This window comes from Homo sapiens, chromosome 7, assembly GCF_000001405.40.
Source record: "Homo sapiens chromosome 7, GRCh38.p14 Primary Assembly".
Taxonomy (NCBI): domain Eukaryota; kingdom Metazoa; phylum Chordata; class Mammalia; order Primates; family Hominidae; genus Homo; species Homo sapiens.
The window spans coordinates 106,869,611-106,882,072 of record NC_000007.14 but is presented as its reverse complement, the minus strand read 5'-3'; the positions used below and the strand labels follow the sequence as shown (position 1 = coordinate 106,882,072).

Here is a 12,462-nt window from a genome sequence, read left to right as displayed (position 1 = left end):
CTTAATATATTTTTCTTCTCCCTTAAAAATAGCAATCATATCTAGTAACACAAAATATAAGAGTAAATGTAAAACATATAAGTAACAACTGTACGTTTATTGGTCAATCTGGTACTCTAAAGTTTCTCTTCTTTGTGAGCTTGTTAATTTTGTTTTCCGAAATGTACCTTGGGGAAGAGGATAAATACATTTCTTGTTTTGTTTTGTTTTTGTTTTTGTTTTGTAGATGGAATCTTGCTCTGTCGCCCAGCCTGGAGTGCAGTGGTGTGATCTTAGCTCACTGCCACCTCCACCTCCCAGGTTCAAGTGATTCTCCTGCCTCAGCCTCCTGAGTAGCTGGGATTAGAGGCGCGCATCATGATGCCCGGCTAATTTTTTTTGTATTTTTAGTAGAGATGGGGTTTCACCATGTTGGCCAGGCTGGTCTCAAACTCCTGACCTCAAGTGATCCGCCCACCTTGGCCTCTCAAAGTGCTGGGATTACAGGCGTGAGCCACCATGCTTGGCCAATACATTTCTTTTGGAGTGGGTTTTAGCTGTGGTTCATCACCTCTCTGTTCAAATGTTCTGCTTTACTTGTGTCTATTTTACCACAAAACTCTAACATCCTTACACATATTTATCAAAGGCAATAACCAAAGCAGCAGTAACTACAATGATGATAATGATAGCGAATATATACTGATTGCTGCTTTATGTGTGATCCTTGCATTGCCCTATAATGTGGATAGGATTATTATTCCCATTCTACAGGTGAAGGAACAAAGCCTTAAAGAGCTTAAATAACTTGCCCTTAGCTGCCAAACTATGTGCCCCAACAAATAAACAAAGTAGGCTGGGCATGATGGCTCACACCTAGAATCCCAGCAATTTTGGCGATTAACTGGCTCGTGCCTAGAATCCCAGCAATTTTGGCAATTGTCATGGTGTCTTTCACAATCTTGATCATTCCTATAGAAGGATGAAGAGTCTAATGGAGATTGTGGGCTAGTGCCTGGCCCAGAGAAGGAAAGGCTATGTTTTTGTTGAGTGAAGGGCAGAGAGGTTTTTTTTGACCAGAGAGCTATTTTCCAGGTCCACACTGTTGGTTTTCTTATGAGGAAGGGAAAGAAAAGGAGAAGACTGTGAAAGTTGTGTGGGAGGCTGAGGTGGGAGGATTCATTGAGCCAAGGAGTTTGAGGCCAGCGTGGGTAACATGGCAAGACCCCATCTCTACAAAAAATATAATTTGCCAGGTATGGTGGTGCACACCTATAGTCCTAGTTACTTCAGAGGCTAAGGCAGGAGGATTGCTTGAGCCTAGGAGTTTGAGGCTGCAGTGGGCTGTGATCGTGCCACTGTATTCCAACCTGGGCGATAAAGCAAGGCCTCATCTTAAAAAAATTAAAAAAAAACAAAACCACAAAGTACATAAAGGGCAAAGGCAAACTTTCACTCAAAATGAGAGGACCAACAGGGTAATTTTTGTGTTTTTAAAGTGTCCATCTTCAAACAATTCAAAATATTCTACAGATTTATTTGAAATTTAATAAACTTGCAAAAAGTTTGAAGGATTTCTCTTTTTCTTTTCTAAAATACCTCCTGGACAAAACATAGATCATTCTTGAAAGCAAAGCAAAGGCAAAGCAAAGGCAAAGCAAAGGTATTCCTGTTTCTATATTAGAAATAAGTAAAAACAGAAACTTACAATTGGAAACATGACCAGTTTTAAATAGGCTACCTTGAAATCAATGTAATTTGTCTACTTCAAATAAACCATATTAAGTATTAGAAATTATTACCTCTACAACACTGACCAACTAGAATCTGGAGAATATTACTTTACAGACTTGTGAAGCTAAAGTTTATCTAGAAATGTTAGAAAATATGAAAATAATTAGCACTGATATATTGACCATTCACCTTCTGCCCTAACAGTACTTCACTCTTGTCACTTACCTGCAGGATTTCTGTGGTGACCTACTTGTTCATCTTTCTCCTTCCCATAAAATCATTTGCTTGATTTGTTTATGTGCATCAGAGGAGATGTATCTAAAAGAGTGCCTAGAGATGTGCAGACATGTCTATGGGCAGGAATGAAGTGAGTGCTGGGGATAAATATGGCTATTTTCTATGTTATCAAGCTTAGAATGGGGTGTATAAAAAAGACATTAGGTGAGGGAGGTATATCTGGCTACTTGGGAGTGTTAGATATGCAACTTGGACAGAACCATAATGCTCATTAGATTGCATATCTAATAGTCTGCAGCCAAATTCCCCAAGTGAAAACTCTCTATGATGTAATATTTGATCACAATTCATCACTTGAAAGAAGAGAGTGGGAATAGAGCCAGTAGGAGAAAGCATGTTTTTGATGTAATATAGAATTGTTTTCAGATAATTGAAAACAATCTTAAAATTAGCATACCTGTAAAATAAGCATGTCTTGGCGCAGATCATCACCATGTTTAAAGATAATTCCAATTGTTTCATTTGATAGGGCTGTAGGATCGGCACATTTAAACTCAAGCCATAGTGGTTTTTTCTTGGAGGCCATTACTTTACATTTTTCAATCTGTAAGGAAGCAGTCACATATTCCCCACACACAATGAATAACGAATATACATGGTGGAGACACAAATTCTCTTGCAAAACATCACTATAAACAACAAGGACAAAGTCCTAGTTGGAGAATGATTTTCAATATTTGGGTAAAAATACAGAAGTTGTTTTGAGCAAATCTGGAAATGCCATGTGAGAGCGAATTCACAACTCTTAAACCAGTGCCTCTCAAACTGTGCTCCAAAGAACCACAAGAGTCTTTGGAAGTGCCTAAGAGGTATGGCAGATCTCACCCTCCCCACGCACACAGAGCTCTGACACTCCCACATCCTCTTTAATAGACAGCAACCTGGCTATTATATTTGTCCGCCTTCTGAGATTTAATTTGAAAAAAGAATTCTAATGCTACCACAATGTCAAAAAAACTATTATTGCAGAATCAGATGCAATAGGCTACATCTAAGCAGATGAAATTTAACAGAAATAAATGGAAAATCTGGCATTTAGGTACAACACGCCCTCCCCCTAAACCTCATACATCTAAATAAATTCAAGGCAGGGGAAATGTGGCTTGGCAGTTACTCACTTAAACATAAAAAAGGTAGGTGTTTCAGGCAAAGGTGAGTTCACCACAGATCAAAATTGTGATGTAGTCATTTAAAGAAGCAAACACAATTTGAAACTGTATTAATATGTCATAATTCCTACCAATCTTTAAATAATGGACAGTGGATAGTGTGTGCTTTTACTATAGGGCCAGTTTGCTGGTAATTGTATATAAAATTAAACATTCAGGGGAAGAACTTCCTCATCTTCTCATGTGGCTTCGCTGCTACGGGAGTTGCCGTCCTGCCATAAACAACTAGAAAACTATGCAAAATATATAAAACTCTTTTCAGACATTGAACAGGCAGTGTAGGTCCGTGATCCCCAAGAAAAGGAAGACAAATGAAGTGAGCCCTGTAATTGCCCCAGATTACTGCCTGGGGGCTGTTTCTAGGCTACAGCACAGAGGAAGGAAATCCAGACTGAGCCCAGAGTCCAGCAGTCTAAATTACTGTAACTGAAGTCTCAGAGAGGAGAGAAAAGAGGCAACATAAAAAATTGGTTGAAAAATTTCCAAATTTGATAGACTATAAACTCACAAATTCAAGGAGCTCCATAGACTCCAGCAGCCTAAACACAAAGGAAACCCATACCAGGGTACATCATAATCAAATTGCTGAAAACCAGAAATAAAAAAGAATCTTAAAAACAGCCTGGGGAAAAAGACGTATTATGCAGACACAATCAAAGATAAGACTCATCATCAGAAAATATGCAAGCCAGAAAAAAATGTTACTGCAAGAAAAAAACCAGTCAATCTAGAATTCCATATTCAGGGAAAATATTTTTCAAAAATGAAAGCAGAATAAAAAGTGTTTCAGATAAACAAAAGCTGAAAGAATTTATTGTCAGCAAACTTGCAGTAGAAAAGATGTTAGAAGCTCAAGGAAATGTGGACCGATATAAGGCAATAAAGAGTACCAAAAATGGTAAATATGTAGGTGAATAGTTAAAAATTATTTCATCTATTAAGTCTGTTAAGTCTATTTTTTAACTGTTTAGGGCAAAAATAGTAACTTATTGTGCCATTTATAACATATATAGAAGTTGAAATCATAATAAAAATAATGCAAAGGATGCGGGGGTTAATGGAAGTATACTGTTGCCTGTATAAGCACACGTATATGAAGTGCTTTGTTATTTAAACATAATCAAGAATGTGTGGTATTGATGTAAGGACAGACATTTAGATCAGTGGAACAGAACAGAGAATCTAGGTGTAGACCCACACATATACGGTCAGTTGATACTTGACAAAGGTGCCAAGGTAGTTCTCCAGGAAAAACAAAACAAAACAAAACAAAACAAAACAGTCTTTTCAACACATGGTGCTGAAAAATCTGGATATTCATATTTAAAAATGAACTCTGACCTTCACCTCACACTGTACACAAAAATTAACTCAAATTGGATTGCAGACTTCAATGTAAGAATTAAAACCATAACCCTTCTAAGAAAAAATATCTGCCACATTGAGTTAAACCAGAATTTCTTAACCTTGGCACTGTTGCCATTTTGGGGTGGATAGTGTTGGTTCTGGGGGACTATCCTGTACCCTGCAGGGTATTTGGCAGCATCCCTGGCCTCTACCCACTAGATGCCAATAGCATTCTCCCAGTTATAACCATCAACAATGTCTTCAGACATTGCCAAATGTCCCTTGGCAGACAGAGGGATTACCCCAGGCTGAGGCACTGGATTAGATAGATTTCTTTTTCATTTCTTTTGAAACAGGGTCTCGCTCTGTAGCCCAGGTTGGAATGCAGTGGCACAAACACAGCTCACTGCAGTATCAAACTCCTGAGCTCAAGTGATCCTCCCACCACAGCCTTCCAAGTAGTGGGGACTATGGCACGTGCCACCATGCCCGGCTATTTTTTTTTATTTTTTGTAGAGATGGAGTCTCGCCATGTTGCCCAGTCTGGTCTCATACTCCTTGCCTCAAGTGATCCTCCCGCCTTGGCTTCCCACAGTGCTGGAATTACAGGTGTGAGACACTGTGCTAGTCCTAGACAGATTTCTTAGATAAGACACTAAAAGCACAAACCATTTAAGAAAAAGTTGCAAATTTGACTTAATCAAAATTTAAAGCTTCTGCTTTGAAAGACACCTCTAAGAAAATAAAAAGGCAAGCCACAGACTAACAGAAAATATCTGTAAAATGTATATCTGATAAAGAATTTGTATCCAGTTTATATAAGTAACTCTCATAACTAAAACTAAGGTCCAGGTGCGGTGGCTCACACCTGTAATCCCAGCACTTTGGGAGGCCGAGGCAGGTGGATCACGAGGTCAGGAGATTGAGACCATCCTGGCTAACACGGTGAAACCCCATCTCAACTAAAAATACAAAAAAAAAAAAAAAATTAGCTGGGTGTGGTGGCGGGCACCTGTAGTCCCAGCTACTTGGGAGGCTGAGGCAGGAGAATGGCATGAACCTGGGAGGAGGAGCTTGCAGTGAGCCGAGATCGTGCCTCTGCACTCCACCCTGGGCGACAGAGCGAGACTCTGTCTCAAAAAAAAAAAAAGAAGGCAACCCACCTAAAAAACTGGTGAAATATTTGAATAGAAAATTTTCAGAAGAATGTACTCTAATGGAAAATGAGCACATAGAAAGACACTCAACCTTATTATGGAAATGCAAATAAAAACAACAGTGAGATACCACTTCATACTCATTTGAATGGCTAAGTTTAAAAAGACTGATGATAGGCCGGGCGCGGTGGCTCACGCCTGTAATCCCAGCACTTTGGGAGGCCGAGGCGGGTGGATCATGAGGTCAGGAGATCGAGACCATCCTGGCTAACAAGGTGAAACCCCGTCTCTACTAAAAATACAAAAAATTAGCCGGGCGCGGTGGCGGGCGCCTGTAGTCCCAGCTACTTGGGAGGCTGAGGCAGGAGAATGGCGTGAACCCGGGAAGCGGAGCTTGCAGTGAGCCGAGATTGCGCCACTGCAGTCCGCAGTCCGGCCTGGGCAACAGAGCGAGACTCCGTCTCAAAAAAAAAAAAAAAACAAAAAAAAAACTGATGATAACAAGTGCTTGCTAGGATGTGAAACAACTAGAACTCATCGTATACATTGCTGGAATTTAAATGGTATAACCACTTTGGAAAAATGGTATCTTGTAAAATTACACACACACACCATCTGACCCAACTACCCCACTGTTAAACATTTACTCAAAAAATGAATGGAAAACAAACTGTGGTATATCCATACAAGGGACTACTACTAAGTCATAAAAAGAAACAAATTACTGATACATACAATAACATGAATGAATCTTAAAAGCATTATGGAAAGTAAAATAATTCAGATATAAAACTATATACTATATGATTCCTCTTAATAAAAGTCTAGAAAAGGCATTTTATGATAGAAAGTAGATCTGTTGCATTATCACAGAGAATGGGAGGAGAAAAAGGACTAACTGCAATGGGACATGACAGAACTTTTTCTGTAACATGTCTATGGAAATGTTCTAGATCTTGATTGTGGCGGTGGTTATATAATTGTATACATTTCTCAAAACTCACTGAATTCTACTTTTTTTTTTTTTTTTGAGACGGAGTCTTGCTCTGTCACCCAGGCTGGAGTGTAGTGGCGTGATCTTGGCTCACTGCAACCTCCACCTCCTAGGTCCTAGTTCAAGCAATTCTCCTGCCTCAGCCTCCCGAGTTGCTGGGATTACAGGAATGCACCACCATGCCTGGCTAATTTTCTTTTGTATTTTTTAGTAGAGACGGGGTTTCACCTTGTTGGCCAGGCTGGTCTTGAACTCCTGACCTCGTGATCTGCCTGCCTCGGCCTCCCAAAGTGCTGGGATTACAGGCGTGAGCTACCGCGCCTGTTCCCTGAATTCTACATTTTAAATGGACAATTTTTATTGTATACAAAGAATATCTCAAGCTGATTTTAAAAAATATGGAAGGGAAATTATCTGGTATTGAGGCTTTCATAACCAGTGATTAGACAAGGGCTTATGAGAAACCCATCCAGAGACTCTCCAGCTTCCCTGTCTCTGCATAAACATTAGCTTTTAAGTACTGGGCCCCAGCAAGCACGTTAGACATCTTCAAGACATAAAGACCACATGGAGACATCCAAGTGATACCTACTGCCAGCGCTCCTGCTTTCAGTCCAGGATCATATGGAACTCTAAAGCTTTCGGGGAGTTGAGAATTCTGCAGGTTTTCAAGCTTTTGTTTAAGTTGTGAAATAACTGTAATTGTCAAAAGTACACAAGAGTTATGTGAGTTCCAGAAATCATCAATATTATCTATTACATTTCCTGAGAACACATTTATTCATAGCATTCTATATATTTGTTCTGGTGTAGAGCAGGAGAAATGTGGGTGGGCCCTGCCTTTGAGGAGCTAACCATATGAGGTGGCAAGATACATTGGGCTTAAGGTGAGCAACATAACCATGTACACATACTACAACAGGGGACAGAAATATGTGAATATATGTGGGATAACACATAGACACCAACACAATCCAAGTAGAGAAGTATGCTCTGAGGGTGATGCTAAGGAATTAATACTGTAGTTTTCTTTCCAGCACATTAAACTTTAAACTACCATCTGATTTGAGGAACAGACATTTTAAGAAAATAATACATGGAATTTGGTTAGGGTTCTGTAATTTCTTTTCAGAAGAGGAAGTTAGGTTCTGTAGAGAAGTAGAGAAGATGGATGTGACAGCCTTAAAATTCTAAAGGCAAAATATGTGAATTAAAAATTACTGGATGACTGACAGAATGAGGGTCAGTACAAATGTTTTCCTTTCTTAAAATGCAAATAAAATATTATTATTACCATCATCATTTTTAGGAGGAAGCATTGTAAGAATCAAAGGGAGAAAGAAATTTTAAATATTCAGGAGTTTAAAATACTGGTTGAGTACATGAAGTGTCTATGTAATGAGCCATAGTGCTAGGTCTAGGTATATAAAAATGAAAAAGAGATATTCTCTAGATTCAAGGTTGATACAGTTTACCAGACCAGGAAGATATGTTAAAGACTTTAATTTAATGTAGTATCAATCAAAATCTACAGAAATACAGAGAAGGAGTGATTAATTTTCCTAGGGCAGGGGCAGGTTTTCTTAGGGTAGGAATAAGATATTGGAAACAGCTTGAGAGAGAAGGTGGTGTGTGTGTGTGTGTGTTTATTACCTTTATGCACACACACACACACACAGATACAGAGTCGTCTCTTGCTGTCTGTAAGGATTGGTTCCAGGACCTCCTGCAGATATCATAATCCATGAATGCTCAAGCCCCTGATATAAAATGGTATAGTATTTGCATATGACCTATGCACTTCCTCCCATATACTGTAAATCATCTCTAGATACCTATAATATCTGATACAATGTAAATGCTATGCAAATAGTTGTTACACTGTACTGTTTAGGGAATAATGACAGGAAAAAAAGTCTGTACATGTTCAATGCAGATGCAATTTTTTTCCCAAATGTTTTCTATCCATGCTTGGTTGAATTTACAGATGTAGGACCCCAGATAGGGAAGAATGAATGTATCTCTATATATCACTCTGAGATATATAGATGAAGAAATGCCAAAAAATTAAAATAGCCTCTCAAAAATTCATCATTTTATAAGACTGTAAACTTGAAAACTGTATGTGCATATTCAGAGATGTGAAGAAAAAGGTAAAGATTTGGAAATATCTAATCTTTGTGTATGCAACTGTTCTTAAAAACTACATCTTACATCTGCATAATGCTGCTTAATTTTTCAGTTAAGAATATGTAAATATATAGTTAAAAATTATGAACTTGTAAAAGGAGAACTTTAAATTTGTTTACTCCATGCAGACAGAAAACTCAAAAATGTGTTCTTGGTGCCTTCAGGAGGATGCAACTTGGATTCCAGGAAGAAAAAGAATTATAGGAACAATGGCATTTGGAGATGAAGGCATTTGGAAAGAGAACACAGAAAATATAGCCACCGTACCTTGGGAACTGACGTCATACTTTTCAGCAGAGAGCGATTTAATATCAAGGGTGACTTTTTGTAACATCTCGATTACTTGGACTTGTTGGGTAAAGTCGTGCAGCATGGCTGTGCCACAGCCCCTCAGATAGGCTTCCAGAATCACAGCGAACCTCTGCTGATAGTGTCTGGACTGGGCTATCTCACTTCTCAAGAACCAAAACAAAAAGTGACCAATTCTTTTGTTCTGAGGGCAGGTACAAGAAAGTTGAAATTATTATGACTAATGCTTTAGGTCTACCAGTTAATTCTTGGCAACTTAAAATTTCACGCTATTATCAAAATGGAAGTACTTACTCTTAAACCACGCTTCAGCAGAAATCTGGCAAGGGCGCTATCATGGTATGGTTCAAATTTCACAGCCTAAAGGAAGAACACATTGGCATTTGTAGGACTGTACTCTATGTCGTTGAATCAGGGAAAAGGAAATGGAGAAGAACTGGTGCTCTGCTTTACTGGGTCTTCACGGCTAGAAAGATGAAAATCTTAACAGTCACTTAAGTTTAATCCTGTCTGTTAGAGGACACTTAGGACCAGACTGAACCACTTGCTTAAGATCATAGAGCAGCCGATGACATAACTGGGATTAGAGGATGAAACTTTTGACTCACAGTCATGTGCTGCTGATAAATTCAAAGGTGAAGAGGTGAGGGAATTTGCTCTAATTAGGTCTTACTGGTTTTGTTGGAGGGGTAGAGGGGGAAGATGGAGACACTGTAACCAATCTATAAAGTGGAAGGTAAGAGAGAATGTGAGAAAGAAAATGGACAGTGGAGATATAGTATAATACACGTAAGGAGAAAAATATTTGTTAGATGGAAAGATCCTAAAAGCCCTATAGCTTCCCTTTTCGGCATCTCACTGGCAAGTCACTGAACTGTCTCACAGGTCCTTAACTACAAGTAAACAGTGGCTCTAGATCAATCCACACAGAGCAATCACTACCCTCTGCCACACTGTGGTGTGTACAGAGCTTTCTGTCCAAAAGTCCCTGATTTTATGTTTTCTTAAGTATAATTTGATCTTCATTTTTAGTGTTTAGTAATTTTCATATCACTTGGCTGATGTTAGAGAATATTGACTTAGTACAGCTCCATTACTGATGAGGAAGAACTGATAAAATGTAAAAAACACAATTAAATCTTGTGAGTGCATAGGTGTTTCATTGTTCTCTGTGCTTTTCTGTAAGTTTGAAATAGTTCATAATTTTAAAAGCAGCAACACTAACATTGTTCAGATTATTATAAAAGCATATATAAAGTTAGAGGATAGATGTTATATGTAAACATGAAGAAAGACTTAATATTAAATATCTCAGAGTATACACTTTATGAATAGAAATGGTGTATCCTTTTTTCCTAAGGAACGGAAGAAATTCACATTCTAGTTTATATTTTAGGAACTGGAGGCTTCTTGGAAGGATTTATAATTCTTCCTCTGGTTTTCCAGTTTGGACATGATCACTAGTGGCTTCATCATGTTTCAATTATACAAGTGTTTACAAAAATGCTTTTCAAAAGTATGGTCAAATAGGTGCCACTGTAGCTGCATCAAAGGCCTTAATTCTGAGAATGTGGTCTTTTAGCCACCAGTACTCATTTTCGCAATGTTTTAAGTTTCTAAGCCAGATGTGAGTCTTTCTGACCTTCTTCAGGTTTCACTTCTGTAAAGACAGTGCAGATCTCAACTAGGAGACCATTTTGATCAGGAATGAGTCATTTAGCCATAGCTGAAAATGTCTCAAGTAGTTTTACAAATGACTATTCTTCTTCAGATTTAAGACCACAAATTCAATGTTAATATTATGTATTGACCTCTTTCATTTAACACATTTCTAAAAAGAACATTATTCATTTTCCAGCTCTTTAAAGTTTACTTGTGAACATGACAATGAAAAATAATTCCTGTTAGCCTTGGGGTTTGCAACAGAGCTCATCCAAGTTTTTTTCATGTTGTTTCTGTTATGGAGAGCTAGAAAACTGAAGATTCTTTAATTATTCTAAAATTCTTTAGTGTTATACAAATATCTCAACTAGTGAAAAAACTACTGAATATATTTAATGGATGAAAACAAAGCCAAATGTAATGTTTCAAGTATCTAACAGGAAGGTGAAGATTGAGAGTTTAAGTTGAGGCTATCCAAAATGCTTATCAGAAAACTCCAGAACTTCCTATAAATACGGATAGTGATTAGATAGTTTAGTGTGTAAAATTTAGTCTGGCTAATCCTAAAGATCTCAGGTCAAATGTCACTTACTCAGAACTGTCCCGGGGTCTCTTAATCAAAATTAAGTGTCCCTTGGACCCCTGGACTGTTTTCTCATAATACGGTATAGTTTTCCCTAAAGTATTTGTCACAATTTGGTATTAAACATCTATTTGTGTGTGTACTCATTTAATGCCAGTCTTCTCAGTACATGTTGTTGAATTAATGAATGAAGGCTGTGCTCTAAAATAGCATTTCTATTCAAATTCCTTTACTTCTTTTCCCTTGTCAAGCAGTACAATATAAGTTGAGAACTGCTAAAGTGAGCAGGGGAACTGTTCCCCCTTCTTTCTTTAACTTCTTAACTAAACCTTAGAAAAATCACTTGTCCTCTCAGGACCCCAGGGAACATCATGAGAAACGGAGCAGAAATACATACAGTCCTGTACCTATCTGCAGAGAGGAGCTTTCAAGACTCTACCCAGATATGAGATATTATTCTGTGAACTGTAACAGACATACACAGAGAATAAGACCTTTTATCTCTAGCCCCAGAATCCTGACACCAGACTGATGAAGGATATGGTGGTGGATTTGTGAAGGATTTGGGGTAGTGAAAAGAGCAGGATCTGGAGGGAGACCTCCTGGGTTTGAATTCTGGTCTACCTCTTTCAAAGTATGTGACCTTGGGCACATTACTTAGCCTCTTTGTACCTCAGTTTCCTCATGTAAAAAGTGCAAATGTCAATTTGACCTCCATCATAGTTATTGGAAGAGTTAAATGAGATAATACACTGAAAGCATGTCAGTCACTTGGAGCCTTGGCACAAGAAAGCATTCAGTAAGTGCAATCTATCATTAAAATAATAAATGAGAACAAAGTATTCCCACAGGGCCAATTCTCCTAAAAACGTGAAGTACTAATGTCTGCAAAACCCTTGTCAGCAAACCCTCCGAGACAGTAAAAATGTACATGGAACAGTTTACTACTTTTTGAGGCAGCTTCATCATATCTACTTTTGCCGATGATGAAGCTCTGAACAAAGGGCATTTGATGACAACTGAATGGAGTGCCTGTGCATA

General features: G+C 38.3%; 1 protein-coding gene across 10 annotated transcripts in view; it reads right to left on the bottom strand.

Annotated features, from left to right (window-relative positions):
• PIK3CG (phosphatidylinositol-4,5-bisphosphate 3-kinase catalytic subunit gamma) overlaps window positions 1–12,462 on the bottom strand; it is a 43,699-nt gene that overhangs the window by 26,908 nt on the left and 4,329 nt on the right. For all 10 annotated transcript variants that reach the window (NM_001282426.2, NM_001282427.2, XM_017012328.2 and 7 more), the window contains exons 3-6: window positions 9,471–9,536; window positions 9,135–9,360; window positions 7,270–7,373; window positions 2,408–2,554 (exon numbers count right to left, since the gene is read on the bottom strand). In NM_001282426.2, coding sequence (NP_001269355.1) covers window positions 2,408–2,554; window positions 7,270–7,373; window positions 9,135–9,360; window positions 9,471–9,536 — 543 coding nt within the window. The remainder of the gene's footprint in view (window positions 1–2,407; window positions 2,555–7,269; window positions 7,374–9,134; window positions 9,361–9,470; window positions 9,537–12,462) is intronic.